General features: G+C 35.0%; 1 protein-coding gene across 28 annotated transcripts in view; it reads left to right on the forward strand.

The window, feature by feature from the left end:
* CCSER1 (coiled-coil serine rich protein 1) overlaps positions 1 to 24182 on the forward strand; it is a 1477902-nt gene that overhangs the window by 739038 nt on the left and 714682 nt on the right. The window lies entirely within an intron of this gene.

Raw genomic sequence — 24182 nt, forward strand, 5'->3', positions numbered from 1 at the left:
AGAGCAATGAGATAGTTTGTATAGGCATTAGCCAAAATCTTCAATACAATTTGGAAACTAATTATTGATCTTCTTCTACTTGTTTCACATATCCTTTATTTTTCTTAAGAAAACCCATTAAATTTAGACTTACATTTTAGGCTATAAGTTGAATCCATAACATAAGAAATTTTCTTGTGTGTAGCAAGGCTATGGATATGAAATTTCTTAAGATGCCACAAAACTAATCAGAGATTACGTAGAATAAAAACCACTTCCACTTCACTATTTTTTCTCATCTGCAGCAGCAGTTCCCAAACTTTTTGGCACCAGGGACTGGTTTTGTGGAAGACAGTTTTTTCATGTATCGGGGGTGGAGCAGGGTGGGGATGAAACTGTGCCACCTCAGATCATCAGGCATTAGATTCTCATAAGGAGCCTGCAACCTAAATCCCTTGTATATCCAGTTCACAGTAGGATTCACACCCCCATGAGACTCTAATGCCACCACTGATTTGACAGGAAGCAGAGCTCAGGCAGTAATAACCCCTTGCCAACTGCTCACCTCCTGTTGTGTGGCCCAGTTCCTTATAGGCCACGGACTGGTACAGGTCAGTGGCCTGGGGATTGAGGATCGCTAATCTAGGGCGTTTAATTAGCTGAATTACTTCTATTCGCACTTGCCCTCCCCAGCTCTCCCCTCCTTTGTAGAATACAGTGTGCTGTATGCCATCCAGAAGGCTTTAGATGGCTCACTGTTGCCAGTTTTGAGAGACTTGACAGGCTCTTCATAACCAAGCCTCAGAAGACCTGAGTAAACTTATTTCTATCCACTCACTGTCAGGCACAGTACACTCTTAAAACAACAGCTCCACACAGCTTCTCAGAAGGGAATAAAGAAGCCAAATTAAAGGTAATTCATCTTTCAAATATTTATAAATATTTAACCGCATTCAATTTAATAGAGAAACATGCTTACAGTTTTTTAAAAATTTCTGGATACGTAGTTGCTATATATGTTTACAGGATATGTAAGATATTTTGTTGCAGGCATACAATGAGTGATAATCACATCAGGGTAAATGAGTTATCCATCACTGCAAGTATTTATCATTTCTTTGTGTTACAGACATTCCAATTATATTCTTTTAGTTATTTTTAAGTGGACAATAAATTATTATTGATTGCACTCACCCTGTTGTGCTGTCAAATACTAGATCATATTCATCCTATCTAAGTATATTTTTTTACTCATTAACCATTACCCTCTTCCCCCAATACCTCCACTAGCCTTTCCAGCCTTTGGTAACCATCATTCCACTCTTTGGCTCCATGAGCTTAATTATCTTAATTTTTGGCTCCCACAAATGAATGAGAACATGCAAAATTTGACTTTCTGTACCTGGCTTATTTCACTTAACATAATGTCCTCCAGTTCCATTCATGTTGTTCCGAAGGACAGGATCTCATTCTTCTCTGTGGCTGAGTAGTACTCATTGTGTATATGCATAACATTGTTTTTAATCTATTTGTCTGTTCATGGACAATTAGATTGCCTCCAAATATTGACTATTGTGAACAGTGCTGCAGTAAACATGGGAGTGCAGAGTTCTTCAATACACTTATTTTCTTTTTAAAAAATTTTTAATTCTTGTGGATACAGAGTAGTTGAATATTATTTATGGGGTTGATGAGATACTTTGATATAGGCATGCAGTGTATAATAATCACATCATGCTAAATAGTATATCCATCTTCTCATGTGTTTATCTTTTGTGTTGCAAATAGTCCGGTTATACTCTTTAAGTTATTTTTAAATGTGTAGCCAAATTATTAGTAACTATAGTCACCCTGTTATGTCATCAAACACTTGGCCTTATTCTTTCTAACTACTTTTTGTACTTACTAAACATCCCTTTTTCCCCCACCACTCCCACCTTACTACCCTCTCCAGCCTTCGGTTACCATCTTCCTACTCTCTATCTCGATGAGGTCAATTTTGTTAATTTGTAGCTCTCACAAATAGGTGGGAACATGCAAAGTTTGTCTTTACATGCCTGGCTAATTTCATTTAACATGATGACCTCCAGTTCCATCCATGTTGTTGCACATTACAGGACCTCATTCTTTCTTCATGGTTGATTAGTACTCATTGTGTGTGTGTACCACCTTTTCTTTATCTGTTCCTCTGTCGATAGACACTTCAGTTGCTTCCAAATACTGGCTATTATGAACAGTGCTGCAACAAACATAAAAATGGAGATATACCTTTAATATACTGATTTCCTTTCTTTTGGGTATATACCCAGCAGTGGGATTGCTAGATCGTATGGTAGCTGAATCAATTTTAGATTTTTGAGGAGCCTCCAAACTGTTCTTCAAAGTGGCTGTACTAATTTACATTCTCACCAATAGTGTACGAGGGTTCCCTTTTCTCCACATCCTTGCCAGCATTTGTTATTGCCTGTCTTTTGAATGAAAGCCATTTTAAATAGGATGAGATGATATCCCACTGGAGTTTTGATTTGCATTTCTCTGATGATCAATGATGTTGAGCACCTTTTCATATGCCTGTTTGCTGTTTGTATGTCTTGTTTTGAGAAGTGAATATTCACATCCTTTGCCCATGTTTAATTGGATTATTAAGTTTTTTCCTATAGAGTAGTTTAAGCTTCTTATATATTCTAGTTATTAATCCCTTGTCAGTTAGGTAGTTTGCAAATATTTTCTCCCATTCTGTAGTTGTCTGTTCATTTTGTTGTTTGTTTTCTGTGCAGAAGCTTTTTAGCATGATGCGATCCCATTTGTCTATTTTTGCTTTAGTTACCTGTGCTTTGGGGTATAATACTCAAGAAATCTTTACCCAGACCAAAGTCCTAGAGAGTTTCCCCAATGCATTCTTTTAGCAGTTTCATAGTTTGAGGACTTAGATTTAAGTATTATTTCCACTTTGACTTGATTTTTGCATATGGGTAGCAATAGGGGTCTAGTTTTAGTTTTCTGCATAGAGATATCTAGTTTTCCCACCACCATTTGTTGAAGAGACTGTCCTTTCCCTAATTTATGTTCTTGTCACCTCTGTTGAAAATGAATTTACTGTAGATGTATGAATTTATTTATGGATTTTCTATTTTGTTCCATTGCTTTATGTGGCTTTTTTTTTCTGCCAGTACCATGCTGTTTTGGTTACTATAGCTTTGTAGCGTTAAGTTGAGGTCAGGTAATGTGATTCCTCCAGTTTTGCTCTTTTTGCTCAGGATGGCTTTGGCTATTCTGGGTCTTTTGTGACTCCATCTAAATTTTAGGATTTTTTTTTTTCTATTTCAGTGGAAGGTCATCGGTATTTTGCTCAGGACTACATTGAATCTATAGATTGCTTTAGCTAGTATGGACATTTTAACAGTATTGGGTCTTCTAATCCATGGACATGGAATATCTTTTCATTTTTTTGTTTCTTCTTTGATTTCTTTCAAGAATGTTTCATAGTTTTTATTGTAGAGATATTTTACTTCTCTTGTTAATTCCTAGTATTTTACTTTATTTGTAGCTATTGTAAATGGGAACACTTTCTAGATTTCTTTTTCAGATTGTTCACTCTTAGCATCAAGAAATGCACAGATTCTTGTATGTTGATTTTTGTATCCTAGAAGTTTACTGAGTTTATCAGTTTGATTGTTTTTAGTGGAATCTTCAGGATTTTTCAAATATAAGATCATATTATCTGCAAACAAGGATAATTTGACTTCTTCATTTCCAATTTGGATGTACTTTATTTCTTTCTCTTGTCTGATTGCTCTAGCTAGGACTTCCAGTACTATGTTGAATAACAGTGGTGAAAGTGTACTCTTGTTGTGTTCCAGATCTTAGAGGAAAGGCTTTTAGTTTTTCTCTGTTCACTATGATAACTAGCTGTGGGTCTGTTATATATAGCTTAAATTGTATTGAAGTATGTTTCTTATTTACCCAGTTTTTTTAGGACTTTTTAATCATGAAATAATATTGAGTTTTATTAAATTCTTTTTCCGTGTCAGTTGAAATGATCACGATTTTGTCCTTCATTTTGTTTTTATGATGTATCACATCGATTTGCATTTGATGAACCATTTTTGCATCCTGGAGATAAACCCACTTGCTCATGATGAATGATCTTTTTAATGTGTTGTTGTGTTCTGTTTGCCAGCATTTTGTTGAGGTTTTTTACATCAATGTTTTTCAGAGATATTGGCCTGTAGTTTTCTTTTTTGATGTGTCTTTGTCTGGTTTGGTATCAGGGTAATACTAGCTTCACTGAATGCATGTAGAAGTACTTCCTCCTCCTCTATTTTTCTTAGTTGTTTAAGAAGGATTGGTGTTAGCTCTTTAAATGTCTGATAAAATTTAGCAGTAAAGCCACCAGGTCCTTGGCTTTTTTTTTTTTTTTTTTTACCGGGAGACTATTTATTATGGCTTAAATCTCATTACTTGTTATGGTCTATTCAGATTTTGGTTTTCTTTATGGCTAAATTTTTTGGGTTGAATATCCTCAAAATATATTTATTTTTTCTATTTTTTCCTTTTTTAATGTATGTTTGCTCGTTTCTAATGATCTTTTGAATTTCTCCACTATCTGTTGTAATGTCTCCTTTTTTTTGTCTTTTATTTCATTTATTTGGGTCTTCTCTCTTTTTTTCTTAGACTTTTTAAAGGTTCATCAAATGTATCTTTTCAAAAAATTAACTTTTCATTTTGTTGATCTTTTGTATTCTGTATGTTTTCATTTCAATGTCATTTATTTCTGCTCTGTTCTTTATTAATTTCTTCAGCTAATTTTACATTTGCGATTTGCTCATGCTTTTGTAGTTCTTTAAGATGTATTGTTAGCTTGTTCAAGTTTTAAAAAAAAATATTTAGGATCATATAGCTATACATTTTTCTCTTAGTACTTCTTGCGCTGTATCCCATAGATGTTGGTATGTTGATCCATGTTCATCTGTTTCAAGAAATTTTAAAATTTCCTTAAGCTTCTCATTGACCCAGTGGTCATTCAGAGCATACTGTTTAATTTCCATGGGCTTGTGTAGTTTTCAGAGATCCTCTTGTTATTGATTTTCAGTTTTATTCCATTGTAGTTAGAAAGGATAATTGATATTATTTCAAATTTTTTTGTTTTTGAAGACCCTTTTGTGGTCTAACATGCAGTCTATCATTGAGAATTATCCATGTGCCAAGGAAAATAATGTGTATTCTGCAACCATTGGATGAAACATTCTGTGAACATCTATTAGGCCCATTTGGTCTATAGTCCAGATTAAGTCTGATGTTTCTGTGTGGATTTTCTATCTGTGTGATCTCTCTAATGCTGAAAGTGGGGTGTTGATGTGTCCAGTTATTTCTGCATTGGAGTCTATCTCTCTTTAATTCAAATAATATTTGCTTGTTTATCTGGGTGCTCTAGTGTTGGGTGCATATATATATTTATAATTGTTAATATCCTCATGCTGTATTGACCCCTTTATCATTAAATAATGACCATCTCTGTTTCTTTTTATGGTTTTTGTCTTAAAATTTATTTTGTCTGATGTACATAGAGCTACTCCTGCCATTTTCTGCTTTTCATTTTCATGGAATATCTTTTCTCATCTCTTTATTTTCAGTGTATGTGTGTGTTTATGGGTGAAGTTTGTATCCTGTAGAGAGCAGATAGTTGGGGCTTTAAAAAAAAATCCATTCAGCTACTTTATGTCTTTTGATTGGAGAGTTTAGTCCATTTGGATTCAATGTTATTAATAAGTAATGATTTACTACTGCCATTTTGTTTCTCGTTTTCCAGTTATTTTGTATTTTTTCCTTCCTTCTCCTTCCTTCCTTCCTTTTATCCTTCTTCCCACCTTCTATCCTGGCATACTTTTTGTGAAAGTGATTTTCTCTGGTGGTATGATTACATTTCTTGCTTTTTATTATTTGTGTATCGATTGCAGTTTTTTGCATTTGAGGTTACCATGAGGCTTGCAAATAACATCTTATAACAAATTACTTTAAACTGTTCAAAACTTAACACTGATTGCATAAACAACAAAAATAGCAAGCAAGTCAATATAAAATGAATAAAAATTATACTGTAACTTCATTCCATCAGTTTTCTTACTTTTTGTTGCTTTTATTTATATCTTGCTATACTGCCTATGTCTTGAATAGTTGTAGTTATTACTTTCGATTGGTTCATCTTTTAGTCTTTCTACTCAAGCTATCAGTAGTATACATCCCAGAATTACAGTGTTATAATACTCTGTATTTGTCTGTCAACTTACTATTACCGGTGAACTTTGTACCTTCAGATGATTTCTTATTGCTTGTTAACATCCTTTACTTTCAGATTGAAGAACTCTATTTAGCATTTATTGTAGAACGTGTCTAGTGTTGAAAAAAATCCCTCAAATTTTGTTTGTCTGGGAAAGACTTTGTATCTCCTTCATGTTTGAAAGATATTTTCTTTAAATATATCATGCCACCCTCTCCTGGCATATCAGGTTTCTACTAAGTCCCCTGCCAAACATATTGGAGCTTCTTTGTATGTTACTTGTTTCTTTTCCCTTGCTGCTTTTAGGACCTCTTTTAAAAAAATACTTGATTTGGGGAGTTTGATTATTAAATATCTTAGGTAGTCTTATGCGGGTTAAATCTGCTTGGTTTTCTTTAACCTTTTTGTACTTGAATATTGATATCTTTCTTACATTTCAAAAGTTCTTTGTTATTATCTTTTGTAATAAACTTTCTACCCCGATCTCTCTGTCTCTACCTCTTCTTTAGGGCCAATGACTTTTAGATTTTCTCTTTTGAGGTTGTTTTCTAAATCTTACAGACTGCTTCATTCTTTTTAATTCTTTTTTCTTTTGCCTCCTCTGACTGTGTATTTTCAAATAGAGTGTGTTCAGGTTTACTAATTCTTTCTTTTTCTGAATCAATTCTGTTGGTGAGAGACTGATGCATTCTTCAGTGTGTCAGTTGCACTTCTTAGCTTCAGAGTTTCTGCTTTGGTGTTCCTGTTGCGGGAACCATCATTGGAGGGTTCTATTTTACTATCTTGTTCCACCTCCCCAGTTCTTGTAAATATGAAACCAAAATCTTTACAATGGTATTGACCTTTAAAACTCCTTGCAGATCTGTAATTGTAAACAAATAATATTTTGAAGCTCAGGTCATTATTTTTTATCTTATGAGGCACATGATTGGTTATGACCTTTGAACAATAATCTTATTGAATATGCACAGATCATCTTAAGTGTTAAGAGTGTCTAAGGAAATATACATTACCTGCCAGATTTATGTATATGTATGTACATTTTTGAGAGGAAAAAGGCAATTTTTAAAGCTAACATTTGGGGACAAACAACTAATATTAAGCTAAAAGTAAAAATGCCTTGACCTTCTTATACTGGTTCTATTTTTCTCTTTGTCCCTGATAGTGACAGATGACATTCATAGTCCCAATGAGCTTTTCTCATATTTTTGATTTATCAAAATGCATGATTTAATAACTGTCTTTAATTTTATTTTCAAAATATAGGCAAACAGTTGCATATGGTACGGTACTAAATGTGTTAAAGAACCTTTTGTTCCCTACTCTATTTCGAGGTGAAAGAGAATGCTAATGTAATGATAAGTAAATGATTCTTTCACATTTGGCTTTCCTTCCATCTTCAATTTAAAAAGTTAGCTAGGTACCCACTCAGAATAATTGAATAATGCTTCTTTCTACCTAACACTGCTGTAGAAGCATTTATTTCCTCTCATATTTCCAGTTATCTCTAGGCACAGCTTTAGGTAATATCTTAAAAGTTACAAAAATATTTTCTTATGGTATGATTTCATAAATCCTTTATCAACAAACGCAAATCATTCAAAGGTTTGTATTTGAAGTTTTTTAAATAAGCACATAAAGCTAGTGGCCATGTAGCAAACCTCTAAATTTTTTTAAAATGTTTCTTTTGTTCTTATTTTTGTGAAAATTTGTTATGTCTTTCAACTTTAGAAGAAGTTTTTTTTCCCATAAAAAAAAAATCTCACCATGGGGTTTCTATTTTGATGCTATCTTGTGGATGGGACATTTGGCTAGGTCATCAAATGGTCTGCATCTCACCAGCTGCTGTTTTTCCCTCCCTCCCAAGACCTTGAGAAAGTAACGTAACATTCCTAAGTATCTATTTCTAACTTTGTCTAAGTATTTCACAAAAAACGAATTCAACAAATGCTTATAGATGACTTTTGTATTCATAAGTTGATTTTCTTTAAAGGAAATACTAATCCCTTGTTTTCTTCTCCTTGCTCATCTTGTTTAGTAATTTAGAAAACCCAATGCCTATATTAAAAAACAAAATTGGCTGGGTGTGGTGTCTCACACCTGTAATCCCAGCACTTTGGGAGGCTAAGGCAGGCGGATCACAAGGTCAAGAGATCGAGACCATCCTGGCCAACATGGTGAAACCCCGTCTCCACTAAAAATACAAAAATTAGCTGGGCGTAGTGATGCATTCCTATAGTCCCAGCTACTCAGAAGGCTGCGGCAGGAGAATCACTTGAATCTGGGAGGCGGAGGTTGCAGTGAGCTGAGATTGCACCATTGCACACCAGCCTGGGCTACAGAGCGAGACTCCATCTCAAAAAACAAAAACAACAACAACAACAGCAAGAACAACAAAAACTGCATCATCTCTCTGTATCCATCTCTTTATTTCTCTCTCTAGTATGTTCCCGAGTGCTTGAGTTCTCTAATGATCTATGGCATGAAGCAGCCTTTATCAGCTTGGCCACTTGAACAATTACGTGTTGCACATCACATCAAAGAAAAGGGGGATGATAAATGAATATCATCTTGTTTTGGTGGCTATTAAATGCCTTCACTTTCATACAATGAGAAATTTGATAAACTGAGTTGAGCCTCATGGTTAATGACATTTCCAAATTTTAGAATATCCATAAATAATGGAGGAACTTATTATAAACAATAGGGGATAAAACAAAGAACCTCTCTTCTGACACATGAGAACAAATGACTTCACATCTCATCTATTTTTAGAGAATGATGTTGAAGTCTATTCATTTATCCTCTGTTATTCATTTTTGGATAAATAATGATGCTCTTTTAAAACCTGAAGTCCAAATGCCTTAATACAATAAGATATGTGACATTTTATAGGCATTTTGTAACAAGTCTTGCATGTCACTATAGTGCGGTTACATACAATATCAATTATTCCCTAAGGTATTATATAGTTGTAGATCATAAACTTATAGCTTAAATTAAACATCACAGCTGGTTGCTTTAATTTGATGCATTATGCCACAAATGTTTCAACAGCTTGACTAAGATGAGCCATACTGCCGATTCAAAAGAAGAGCGAAGGTCAATGCACAGGAAGCCTAGTCATTTGCAGATTTTCTTTGAGAATATTAAAAAGCATTCTGCAGAATATAGTTAAATGGAATATAACCAAACAAAATTAAAGAAAACAGAGCAGACTATTGCGATGGTGTTTCACTTATAAAAAGCAGCCTATAAATTCTTAATTTCATGTCAGTGTTTACGATAGCACATTTTAAAAATCATGAATAGGGTGCTTTGAGAATGTTGTTTACTTCTTTCATTGTGGTAGCCTTGCCTGCTTCTTTTCAAACTTAAAACTTCATTAAATCTGCAAAGGAAGGCAATTATGAGAAGAAAGATAAAAAATGATTGCCCCCTTTTTCCCCTCTCTCCAGGAAAGTTTTTCCCCCTCAATTAGAAGACCAGAAAAGCTGTCTTTTCACTCATCCCATTCTTCACTCCAAAAGTCTTTAGCTAAGAATACTGATAATAATTCCACCAAGATTATCATTCATTATAATGAAAACCCAATTTTTATTCTAACTCCAAGGGTATTCTAACCCATAATAATTAGCCCTAAATATTATTTTTGAAGCAATTCACAAGCTAAAATAATCTGTTAGTTAAGATCAGAAAATAAAACTCCCTCAAATCATGTGTGCTGGCAACACAACAGAGATGGAAGCAATCATGTGTGAAAGGTTAATAACATGATATTTTAAGATTAAAAAGATGAAACTAAGCTTTTCCGTATTTGTCATAAAGACATAAAATTTCAAAAACAAAATGAGAACCCAAATATCTCTGAGAGTTTGCTCTCACAACATCTAACTAATCATCATCTCTTAGTTCAGAAACACTTAGTTGTTCATAAACCACAAATCCCTTAGTATGACATTTGGAGCCCCATTCAATCCCATTCATATATCATTAAACCATACTTAATTACACACTCTAGCCATTGCCTGTGTGTGTGAGTTTTTCTTTAGCCACTATTTTAAACACTCTTCCTCCTTTCAATACAGTTCAATTATTGTCTCCTATTAACGTAATGCTAATACTTTCAATCAAAATTAACCCTTCCTTTATTGATGTATCTATAAAACGTAATTATTATGGGATTTCAGTTATGGAATACTTTTTGTCTCAGAGTTATTTTAACAGGCAAAATATAAATTTCTTTGTTTCATGTATGACTCATCTTTTCTTTAGCTCTTCATTCTTCTGTGTAGGTAATTAATGTCTGTTGAGTTAAATTACATCATCATTCTAATCCAACACTTTTTTTCTTTATAGTGAGGGAAACTAAGTTTCAGAGAGTTTAAGTATGTTTTCTGAACAAGAGAAACTAGTATTGTTTCCAGGATCAAAGACTTATTTCTTGCTCACCATACATAAGTGCCTTATAAGGTGCAGGTAAAAAGCTTGATCTGCTTAAAGTTACTGATATAGTCAGAGTTTGGAGCTACTGCAAGTTTCTAGGTGCTCAGTTCAGCCTTAACTGGAGCAGAAAACATGCCCTGACCTCCTTATCTTGTTTTTTCTTAACTCTCTTGTGTACCAGTATTTTTGGAGTCGATTTGAATAACAATAGTAATCTGCTTTACCTCACTTTACCTATACATGGAAAAAGTATAATCCTGGAGGAAAGTATAATCAATTGAAAAGAATATGGCATTTACAGTAGAGAAAGCTGAATATGGAACCTGGCTGTAGTATTGGTTGTCTTCCCTAACTTTACATTCAGTATTCCTATTTGCCAGTCGAGGGAACAATACTTACCTCAAAAAAGTTATTGAAAGGAATAAATTGAGTTCATTTTTAAATGTTGACTAAGAAAGACTCTGACACAGATAATTTGCTGAATAAAAACAAATCTATTTTCCCCCACTCTGCTGCTAAATATACCCAGATGCATTTGATTGAAGATATATTAAGGAATGGAGAATAGAAGGAAAAAAAAAGAAAAAAAAAAACAGAAGTAAACGGGAGAAAACAAACCCACTAAGATTTGGAGATCTTGCATGATACCACTACATCAGTGGCACTAAACCCAATAAGATTTGGTTCTAAGCTTTGCTCAATTTAGTCTCTTTCAAGTAGTCTTTCTTTAGCTATTTTAGTCCCTTAGTCACATTAGTCCCTTTAGTTTTAGTGGAAAAAAACATCAGTTACTATCCAAATTATACATTCTAATGGGAGGAACTTTGGCATGTCCAGCAAGCTTCCATTTTCTCAGATGTAATGTGTGCATTATCATGGGAAATAAGCCAAGGCAGTTGCTGGCTTTTTGTGTTCCCTTCCATTCTCCCTTTTGCTATCATCCTAGAAAATCACAGTGATCCATTGTGAAACTGAAACTAAGTCTCACTTTTATGGACTATTTATCCTTAATGACCTTCTCTTTTATTCAGCCACAGCTGTATGTTCCAAAAGTCTAGGTGTTACCATAACATAGACCATGCTATCTAGCTATCTTACACACCAAAATCCTACTCCATAACCATGAGCCCCTGTCCTTGTAATTCTTCTAAAGCCATCCGCAATGCCTTGAAGTCCCTGTCCTTTCAGATTCTCTCAGTCTATGTCTTATTTTGGCCTTTTAAAATTTCCTGCTAAGTCTTATTATTTTCATCTATATTCTTAATTCATTTGTACCTCTATTTGGGTACAGAGTGCAAGCACATTCAGAAAATCTCACTTTTAGATTAATAGGTCTTTTCACTTCCCCTGTTCTACTCTTGGGGTGTTGAGAAATGCTAAATGAATAATATATCTGGGAAGATAGGCTTGTCTAAAGTGCATGGTCTAAAATATCAAAATGAGAGCTCCATGTTGCTATATGTTCTCATACCCCTACCCTGAAAATCTTTACACTATAGTTACTTTGATCTCAGCTCTGTGTCCCTGCACAAATTAAAAACTCGCTTAAGATATTAATCTTTCCTCAATGGAGATGCAAATGTACTCTAGAAGTGGATGTTCTGTGTCTGAATCTCAACTATGCCACTGACTAGTTTTGTGACCTTAGATCAAATATTTATGTCTGTACCTCTGATTTCCTATGTGATAATTAGAAAAGTACATAATAGTTTTGTGAGAATTAAGTGACTTAATAATTGTGAAACATTTAGAATAGCTCTGGTCATATAGTAATTACCAAACAGCTATCCACTATTATTGGCATTTTTTTGAACAGAAATGTCCATTTCATTTCCTTCTTAACATAACCAAAAATGATGCTTTAAGAAAAGTACTCTTCCAAATATCCTCAATGGCATTACCTCCAGAGGTTTTGCTCCCTGTCTAGCAATTTTCTTGTTTGAGCATTCAGTGTGTTTGAACAGTTGTCCCATCACATAACTTCACTGCCTTTATTTTTGTCTGACTGTCTTATTTCAGTTAACCAGTCTTTAAGTTCTGAGATTCTTTTATCAGCTTGGTTTATTCTGCTGTTAATACTTGTGATTGCATTGTGAAATTCTTGTTTTGCGTTATTCAGCTCTGTCAGACCTATTAGGTTCCTTTTTATACTGGCTATTTTGTCCTTCACCCCCTGTATTGCCTTATTGTGATTCTTATTTTCCTTAGATTGGGTTTTGCCTTCCTGTTGAAACTTGATGATCTTTGTTCCTAGCCAAATTCCAAATTCTATTCCTGTCATTGCAGCCAGCTTGGCCTGGTTAAGTTGTGCACATATACCCTAGAACTTGAAGTATAATAATAATAATAAAAGAGGAAGAAGAAGAAGAAGAAGAAGAAGAAGAGGAAGAGGAAGAGGAAGAAGAAGAAAGAAGAAGAAGAGGAAGAAGAAGAAGAGGAAGAAGAAGAAGAGGAGGAGGAGGAGGAGGAAGAAGAGGAGGAGGAGGAGGAGGAGGAAAGAAGAAAGAAGAAAGAGGAAGAAGAAGAGGAAAGAAGAAGAAGAAAGAAGAAGAAGAGGAAGAAGAAGAGGAAGAAAGAAGAAAGAAGAACTCTTATTGGAGAACTGGTGCAGTTGTTTGGAGGACATATACCACTCTAGACATTTGAGTTATTGGAGTTCTTGCATGGGTTCTTTCTCATCTCTGTGTATGGGTGTTCCTTTAACTGCAATATAGATTGAGTCAATAGATACAGTATAGATGCAGTATAGATACAGTCAATAGACTTATTTTCTGGATGTTTTCACCAGGCCGAGGCTTTGTGCAAGGTTTTTATTTGAAGCTGATTTTTTGTCTCTGGTTTTGGAAGAAAGTATGCTAGCAAAGTATTTTTTGTGTTGAAGCTTTGGGGTGTGATCCAGTAGGTGGCACTTAGGCATACTGGTCAGCTGGTAGACTCTTGTCCAGCTATGTGGCTCCCCTGTTTCCTCTCAGTTGTAACTGTTTTCTTTCTCAATGCTCTCTGAAAGTGTGGGTTCCTCTCCCATTGAGTGCTGGCTGTAGAAGGTGGCTTGGCACTCCTGGGCTGCCCACTGTATCTCTCCGGTGATCTCAGTCCTTATGTTTCTTCCCCAACCTGGAAACACCAGAGGAAGGAACCTTAGTAGTAGTTATGGCTAAGGGACTTTTGCTTGTCTCCTGGGGGCTCCACACCAGAGATACGGGTCAGTAATCACTCAGTGCAGTCAGCCCAGGATGGAGGGGCTATGCTGTGGGTCCAAGCCAGAGGTTCCCTGTCTGGTGATGAGCAGTTGGAGGTGTGTGGGACCCATGGGAGACTAACTACCTCCTCTCTTTGGGTCAACTGCAGCTTATTGGAGGTGTAGGTAAAGCACTTGGGGTCTTTGCTACTTCATTACTCCAAGGGAAGCAAGAGCAGTTCCACTGCAGAGGCAGTGGCAGAGAGGCTTTCAGTTGCCCTTGGAGGCTCTGTCCAGGGAGTTGCCAAGTTTCTACTCACTCAGCTCTGGCAAGAGGTGGCTGGAAGCCCAGTCCCAGAGGAACTGTCTGGTGAGGAAATGTGGGCACCAATGTACATCTGGCCACTTTTCTGTAGGGCTGCTGAGGTATGCTGGGGGCCCACTTCAGTCTCTAGTCACCTCAGATTTTCCTGTACCTGGAGGTATCACCATTGAAGGCACTTCGCTGGGCTGGGGAGGTTACTTTGTCTCTGTGTCATGCCTGCGTGGGCCGTCATCCTGCCTGGCTTTTCTCCATTCTCCATGGGTTGAGTTGTTTCCTCTATTAGTCCCAATGCAAGTACTTAGATGTTTCAGTTGAAGGTGCTGAATTTACCTGCCCCTTTTGCCCCTCTCCGAGAGAGCCACGCACACTAGCTGCTTCTAGTCGACCATCTTGGCCACCTCCCTAAAAATTAAAAAAAAAAAAAATGCTTAAGTGTTTTTAGTAAACATAAGTATGATTTCTTATATGAGTTTTTAAAAATTTTTAAAAAGAAAAAGAAAACATCATGTTTCTTAAAAACCTAAAGTTTATACTTTCACTATACAATTTTACACTCTTAAATATCAACCTCAAACTCGTTTCCACAATGCCATCTTTCTCATCTTAAAATACTTTGAAAGTATAAACATACACACACATGCAGGAGAGGAGAGAGGCAGAGACTGAGACAGACAGACAGACAGAGAGAGAGAGAGGGGGGAAAGAGATTTTAAAAGTGAACTAGAAAACAGTAATTCACATTTAGTTTGGGGAATAGAAAGAAAACTCCCAAACAGATTACTTTGAGATAACTCCAAGACCTTTTGGTCCTTATGATTATCCTCAATTTAAAGAAAAACATATGTACACACACTGCCAGATGTGGTGGCTTGCACCTGTAATCCCAGCACTTTAGGAGGCCAAGGCGGGTGGACTGTCTGAGCTCAGGAGTTTGAGACCAGCCTGGGCAATGTGGTGAAACCCCATCTCTACCAAAAATGCAACAACAACAACAAAAAATTGGCCAGGCTTGGTGGCACACGCCTGTGGTCCTGGCTACTGAGGAGGCCGAGGTGGGAGGATTGCTTGAGCCTGGGAGGCAGAGGTTTCAGTGAGCCAAGATCATATTACTGCACTCCAAGCTGGGTGACAGAGTAAGACCATGTCTCAAAAAGAAAAAGAAAAACATACACAAAAAACACCTATAGATGAATCCCACTTCATCTCCCTACTCTTCCCCTGTCTATTCCACTCTCAAAATTCAACTCACTGCAGCTGAACTGCAGGAGAAGCAGCAATGCGAATATGTTTTATGATGATACCTTTGCAATATAAAGTTTTCAAATTCTAGACAGTTGCTCTTGGCCTGAAGAAATAACTACTACATTAAACCCTTGGAATCTAGTAATTTCAAAGAATAGAAAATTAGAAATTTCATCAATTGTGTTATAATAAAGTTGGATATTTTCAATATTTAATGCTTTTCTTCAAAATATGAAGACAACATTTGTTATATAATATCAGCTAGTCACGTTATCCTCTTTCACAGTCCTTTATTTTTCTTCCAACATCAAAGCAAAATGTGAATGAAAATACATCACATATATACCTAGTCATAATAAGGAGCTAAAGTCATTGACACAAATTTACGAAGGGACATGAATGGATACATCTGCCTGTGTAAACTAGCTCACAAATGAATACACACATATGCACAGCATTGAGAAACCCTAAACAAAGCACAAAATTGTGAATACAAAGATTGGTTTGCAAGCAGAACATAGAGAGCCAAGACACACTTAGTATTTACTAAGTATTTTATACTGGGCATTTTTTTCTGAAACTTTTATATTTTTCATTTATATGCTGTGAATATAATGCCTGAACTGTCTATATCATAAGGCTGCTGTGAGGCTCAAATGAGTTAATACGTGTGAAAATGCTTTTAAAACTTGAAAATAAATTGGAAAGGTTCTTAACTAATTATAGTTAAAAGAGCCAATACTTTTATAACTGAGCTCTATCTAATCATTAAAGAATAATGAGTAGCTCTTATTTTGCTCATTTACTTTTATATTGTAGAAAACACTGAATAGCTTTTTCTAATTCATTCTATGATTTGAATCTAACTTTAACACTGAAAAAAAACAAAGCCAGGCTTCCCCCCTCAAATATACGCAACTTCACTTAGGAATAGGTTACATAATTTCTCGGTCAAATATTTGTAAATTAAATCTAGTGATGAATTAAAAAGTATCACAGAAATAGTAGGCAGTATTTATCAAGCGCTTCATGTTTAGAACAATATTTATGTTCATGTTTAGAGCAATATTTATCAAGTACTTTATGTTTAGAACATTTTATGTTTAGAACAATTCTATACAGTAGTTTCTAATATTATCCCAGTTAGACTGATGAGAAAAGCTAGGTCTAGAGAGGTAAGTAACCTTTCTATCAACACACATGTAGTAAGTGGTAAAGCTACAATTTAAACCCCTCCAGTATGACTCCTGAACTCATAGTCATAGCACCATATTATGCTGTTTCACTGAATTTTAGTCAATAATAAAGTTTGAATAAACCTGTCACTATAATTCATGGCAATAGTAAACTAAAGATAACAACTACAGGTTGTTTCCATAGACCTAGTAGAGATGATGTTATCATCAATGACAAACCATTAACTTTATATGAAATGGCCCACAAAACTTTGTTTTATTTTCAAAATATGCATATTTACTAAAAATGGTACATTTAAATTCAGTTAAATTTTCACTAATATTTATATTGACACTACAGTGTGCCAGGAATAGTGTGTTTGGGACACATAAAGAATGACAATATGGAGTAAAAAAGAAATTCTGTCCACTCTCAAAGCAAGAGATCCCTAAAGGATGAAAAAGACAAGTGAAGAAAGTCTGAGATTTTTTTTTTAGGTCGAATGAATGGCAAGTGTACATAGTCCTAAAATAGCCAGATATACATCAAGAACTAAAAATAATTCAGTGTTAATCGAGAGAATTATAAAGTGGAGAGTGGCAGAGATGTAGCTTAGGAAAAGGCAGGTGCCAGTTAGCAGAGAGCCTTCTGTCATTCTGTCACCGTGAGGTGCTTTGGCTTCATGCTGTGGAAGCTATTTGAAGCCACTTCCTCTTTCAGATGGAATATATCTGAAGGCTATAGGGTGAAATTAAACATAACAAAATTGAAATAATACAGAAAGTTGGCAAGGACCTTATAAGGACAATTGGAGAGAAAGAAAGAAGGAGAAAGGGAAATGCATTTAGAAATTGTTGAAGAGCTAAAATCATCAGAGATTGGTGACTAATTAGAGAGGGATGCAAGGTGACCTCTAATATAAGGTAACTGAGTGACATGTGAAGCCATTTCTGATATTCATAAATTAGGAAGAAGAGTCAGTGAGGGGTAGAGGAGGCTGACTGATGAGTTAATCATGTTCAATTTTAAGTATCTAAGAGACCTCTGGATAGCTATATCCAAATGCAGATAGGCACAGATGACTAGCTCTCAATGGAGAGGTCACTACAATGAATTTGGGACTTGTAGACCCACAAGTGATACTGAAATCATGCCAAGATGAACAAAAAAGATTTTGCATGCATAATATTTGGCATATAGTACATTCTACAAAAGTATTTATTTTAAAATTAAATAAAGCAAGTTGTAATGAATTAAGAAAAATGTGTAAAAGTAGCCCCATTTAGGGGCAACAGGAAGCACCCATGGAGAAGGGATACATGTATATACACACACGCACATACACATGTTGATATCAATATATATAATCAATTTATATACATATTGTCTGTGGTCATATACATATGAAGTAAAATTATTAAAATCTCCAGGAAAGTAAGCATCAAATTATCTATTAATTCTAGCTAGAGAAAGTGGTAAATTGGATAGCTCTATACAGAAGACTTGAAAAATGTCTCTTTTTATTTCTGTTTTATAAAAAAATTCTGAAGGAGCAGAAAAAAATGTTAAAATTTGACAAACCTGCTTAGTGAGTCCATATCTATTTTAAAATGTGTTTCTATAAGCTTGAAATATTTTCTGATAATTTTATTAAAGAGTACCTACCAAATGTGGAACAGACTTAGTGTAAACTACAATTTGTAAAATTTGGCTGGAAGGTGAAAAACAAACAAATGAGGATTCCAGAAGAGGAGTGATTTTTCCTTTTAAAAGATAGGAAAGATTTCAGCATTTTATAGATTGAAGCAATGGGCAGATAAAGAAGGATGATTTTTGAAATATAGGCAATAGAAGATTGCACAACAATACTGTTGTGAAATAAAAAATGAGAACATTTGTATGATCTTTGTCCTTTAAATTCAATTACAATAGAGTTAGAACTTTTATATTTTAATATATGACTTCTACTAAAAGCATAAACTCATTTTGTCTCATTCTGCATTATAATAAAGAACTAAAGGTAAAATGTTGTACCTCTTAGGTGACATCATTGAAAAACTTATAGTAAGACAAAGTCACATAATTTTTTTTCTCAGAGGAAATCAATAACCATGAGACTCCTTCACAAACTGCAGTGCATTTATATATTTCAAAGCATCATCACACAGTTGCAGTATTCTCAGTAATACATTACCAACACCAAAACAAGCCAGAAAGAGCATACCTGCTGAAAGAAAAAGGAAGGAAAATGTGTTACCCAACATGTATGATTTTGTATTTCTGAATATTGAAGACTGTTGAAAAGATGATATAATTGAATTTATTGAAATGTACAAGATGGCAATAGAGAATTTACAATTTATGATACAGAATTTCTGACCTGCCCTATATAGTAACAACTATTGTGATTCTGTGAGTTAGAAATTCTTTTAAAATTTTGGGCAATTTATTTGGAAGTACCTTTTTAATTTTGTGAGCTCAAGAGGGATGTTTCTCCTTTTTGGCCCTTAGAGAATAGAGAATATTCTTCTGAGATATATTTTTAGCCATAAGGTCATTATTTGGTGTGCTGGAACGATGATGGAGTTGAGGAAAAGATGACAATGATAGGAGATGGCATTTGTGAAAAAATATGATCAGTGCTAAAAGAAGGCATTACAACCACCTCTTGAGTGACAGAAAGTCTCTTAATGAAATGCTGAATTTATCAGATACATAAATCAAATCATCAACTGTTACAGCAAATCTGCCAAATTAGGAAGAATTCAGCTACCATCATTACTAATCCCATTACTACAAATTCCTTGTTTCTTACTCTTTTCATTCCAAATGTTCTCTTCCTGATCCTTTTGCTCATTTTTTTTCTCAATCCTGTCACTGACACTTCTGCATCTTGGTGTCAGTTCATTGTCTGAGGTAAGTCAGTCACCTTGCAGTCCCTCACCTCCTGCCCCCAAGAGCTGTTCCTCATTGGTGTTCTCCAGTGACCTCCACTCCCTGAGGTCTCATATCAGGGCAAGTCTTCCTAGTCAGATGATCAAAGTCTCAAAGGTGTTGGCTGCTGGTACAACAGGATTGGGATTCATATTCTGAGGTTAGGCATGCCTCTCACCTTTTAAGTAACTTAGTTGAAGCTCTCCTTGAGAAAATTATGAACTAGACAAAAATAACTCATGGTACCTCCCAATTTGCAGAGGTAGGCTCCTTTAACCCTCCTACCATCTTTTCTGGCCCTCAGCCTCTTTTTAATTCCATCTTTCAGGCATCAGGTTCTGATTCAGCTTCAGTCTTTTCTTATCATGGAAAAAAAATCATCTTCTTGTTCTTAAACACAATAATTATCAGCCTAAGTGAGCTACCTCCCCCAGAAATGCCTGTCACTGTTTCAGTGAATTTTAAACACCATTGGGGGAGAAAATTTCTCTTTGGCAGATGTTAAGATATTTCTGAAATAATACAGTTGTATATGTTAACTTGTAAGAAGATCTTTATCTCTAAATTGTAAACTCTAAGATAGGTAATAATCACTGTTAGTAAAAATTGTAATAAAAATACATACAGAATATTTATAATGTACTAGATTTTCTTATTTAATCCTCAGAACAGTACTATTTGTGATTATCCTCGTTTTACTGATCAGAAAGTTGAAACGCAAAGAGGTTTGTAAACTTGCCTGAGGTTGCCTGACAAAGAAAGAACTACAGAGACCTCAGTCTTATGAAGCTACCATTATAAAGAATATTTCTTAAAAAATTCTGTGTCTACTGAATTGAAAAAAGAAAATCAGTTCTGTACTGAACTCATTGTAATCCTCATGGGGTCAGAAATGTCTAAGCATTCTCCAGCCAAATTATTTCTCCTGTTTTTCAGTATCCAACAAGTATTACACACATTGAAACTACTTAGAAGAAGACCAATAGACCTACCAAATGAAAACATTTTAATGAGGAGATTTAAAAGGGAAGGAGATTTATACACACACAGATATAAACCTTCCTTAATGATGAAGTATATAAAACCTACCCTCAGCTTCTTTTTAATTCCATTTTTTAGGCATCAGGTTTCTGGTTATGTGATACAGAATACAATAAAGACAATCTTAGGTAGAATTAAGATTTTCCAGATTCAGGCCACCAAGAAGAATTATACTGGCTGAGGATACTACCAGTAGGGAATAAAGATTCCATAAATAACAAAACTCACCTTTTCTATTTTTGAGAAGAGTGTGGGGAGAGAGAGAGAAAGATGCTGTATCTTTTTTATTTACCCCTGCTTGACTTTCAACAGACCCTGGTTCCTTGCCTACCTTCTCACCATGTGCAAGAAGTTGTGCAAAATGATTCCAGTGCATTTTTGTTACTGGGTAAATTGAAGGTTAACTTCTTGGGCAATTTGTTACAGAAATCAGACAAGCTTCAAATCTATTCTTGCACCATTTCTCTCTATTCTAAATGAAATTATAAATTCATATATTCGGGAACCTCAGAAATTCCAATTTCCAGAATATCTAGAAGAGATGTTAAATCTAATTTTTAAAAAACCACACTGGCCAGGCACGTTGGCTCACGCCTGTAATCCCAGCACTTTGGGAGGCCAAGGCAGGCAGATCACGAGGTCAAGAGCTCAAGAGCATCCTGGCCAACATGGTGTAACCCTGTCTTTACAAAAAATACAAGAATTAGTTAGGCGTGGTGGTGCGCACCTGTAGTCTCTGCTACCTGGGAGGCTGAGGCAGGAGAATTGCTTGAATCCGGGAGGCAGAGGTTGCAGTGAGCTGAGATCGCGCCACTGCACTCCAGCCTGGCGACAGAGCAAGACTCCATCTCAAAAAAACAAAACAAAACAACAACAACAAAAACACAATAATTAGAAATCAACAATGACAGAGAGATCAACACATCTGGAATTTAGTTATGAGAAAAGCAAAAATGTAGTGGGTGCAACGGAGAAAAAGTTGTAAAAAGCCCATGTAAAAATAAAATGACAAAATAAGTTATAATTAAATTGAGGTAATATAGTTACAGACTTTGGAAGAATTCAGAATACATAATTATACTGATGATAGTAAATACACAACTACATTTTTATGTATTTTCTTTATTATCTTGAAAATAACTTAATGCTACTGTGCATTAAATACTTCTTCATTACAGTTGAATTCAAAAAAATCAGCTCTAATGCCAGTGAGAAACAGCACATGGGGATATATAAAAAGTAGATTAAAGAGGAAAACACTTTTATATTCCTAATTTATCACACTATTTTATTACTGATTTATTCTACTCTTTATGCTTTAATATCGAGTACCCTTCCTTGATTTAAATATACTTTGAAAGGGCAAGAGTAGAAAGAGTAGTGAACAAGAAGGCAATAAAACAAATTCAGAGAAACAATCCTTTCTATTTTCTGAAAATATAATGGAGACTTAGCCCTGACTTACAGTTTTGTTTTTATATATAACAATTTGATAACCTCTGTTGCTTGCCACAAAAAAAATCTCTGGTAACAATTTAAAATGAATAAAATAAAACAATACCAGTATTTTAACTAATTAAATGGGAAAATAATCACCTGTAACTTTGAGGAAATGCGTTAACATTTCTGCATGTCTTTTCATTCAAAATCAAGTTAAGTCCTTTGAAAGTGGGCCTAGAGATACAAGTGAAAAAAAATTGTTTTGAGATGTAAGTAACATAAAGAGCGAGAAACAGAACAGATGTTTTCAATTTTCTATCCAGTACAGGGTCACTTGATGTTACTATAGCATTAGTAAAGCTTTTTAACTCTATATTGAGCAATTGTTTAGTCCTCCTTTTCAGGGTCAGTAGATAGCTATCAAAATTTGTATTTTCATTTTCATTTGACTAGAAATTTCATGGATGAAATATCAGAAATATTTCTAAAAGTCAAATTGCATTTAGTGTCACATAGCAATGTCATAGTTTGTCAGATAGTCCAATTTTACTGTTAAAAATAATACGTGATCAATATTCTACAAAGGTAAAAGAACGGAAGAAATCAAGATATACAAAAAAGTTGTATCAACATCACTTGAGAAAAACTGTCAACTGCGTGAAAGAATCAGTATATTGTTATGAATAAGAATTCCATTTACAAATGATTTCAATTCATACACTGAATTCCACAGACATTTCCTGCTATTATTTTACTTTTACTCTCAAAATACAGAGAATCTCGGAACCTGCCAAGTTATAGAATTAAAAAGCCTTAATTATCTACTGGGTGTAAGAAATTTATGTAATGGTAACAACACATAATGATGATGAATTCTGCTTCTCTTATTGACTCACTCTCTCCTACCCCTCCTTCTCCCCACGCAAGTTAAGTAATATTAGACAAACCTGACTATTGTTTCTTCACAGCAGTTAGTCCTTACTCAGATGATTAATTTCTGTGAATCTAGAACTGTTTTCAATACTTTGGGAAATACTATACACAAAAACAGGAATGGAGAAGGATAAGCCCATTAGGGAAACTGCTAGAGCAAATTTTTTTTAATGAATAAATGTTGCAGTATTATTGACAGTAACCAAGATGCAGAAACAGCTTAAATATCCATCAACAGATAACTGGACAAAGGAACTGTGGTATATACATAAAATGGAATATTATTCAGCCTTAAGAAAGGAGATGTGCCGTTTTACATAGCATGGATGATCCTTGATGACATTATGCTAGCAGTGTCATACATTCTAACAAGATATATGTGTATATATTTGCACACATATAATCTTTTAATGTTTTCTTTAAAAACTCAGTTCCTCAAAATCAGCTCTTCTTTATTTGAAATAGTAGCTGACAGTATGGGTAGCACAATAAAGTATGAAAAGTAGATAGGCTCAAAAAATACTTGAAAATAGCTTAAACTTATTAGTGATGCCTAAAAGTAAATATTGCAGGCATAAAGAGCATATTTTCTTTTATGCTCAATAGAAAACTCTGTTGAATCACAATTTCTTTTGTTGAATAGCAAAAATCTTTCTAGATTTTAAAAAAAGTCAAAATTGCCTCCGTGTACTCTAGGAAAAATTATGGTGTTTAATAATGCACAAAAACAGTGATTATAAGAAACAACAAAAATTGAGTTACTATTGTAGACAGAATATTGTCATTGAATGTGACATGACATAAAGTAGGGGGGACCTGGATTCCGATATTTGGTTTGTCGCTTCCTAGATATGTGTCTATGAAAAATGTATTTTATTTCCCTGGGCTTCAGACTCCTCATCTCACACTTTAAGGATTAGACTCTAAACTCCTATCCGGATAAATTGTAGCAGATGCTACTGGTGCTGTGTTCATATATATCCCCTTACATTATTTTACCTTTTTGTGTGTGGGTGTGTGCACATGTGCTCCAGGTGAATGCTCACTCTAAGCAGCCAGTACCGGACTGTCTTTGTCAGTGAGCTGTCCTTAGCTTTAGGAAACTAAGGCCTACATTGCCTGCAGACACTGAGAGCCTGAAAAACATGGGCATGCCCAGCTTTGCTCTCTTCACCAATGACTTGGCCTGGACTGGGACAATTCTGAAATGA

The sequence above is a fragment of the Homo sapiens genome, chromosome 4 (genome assembly GCF_000001405.40).
Source record: "Homo sapiens chromosome 4, GRCh38.p14 Primary Assembly".
Taxonomy (NCBI): Eukaryota; Metazoa; Chordata; class Mammalia; order Primates; family Hominidae; genus Homo; species Homo sapiens.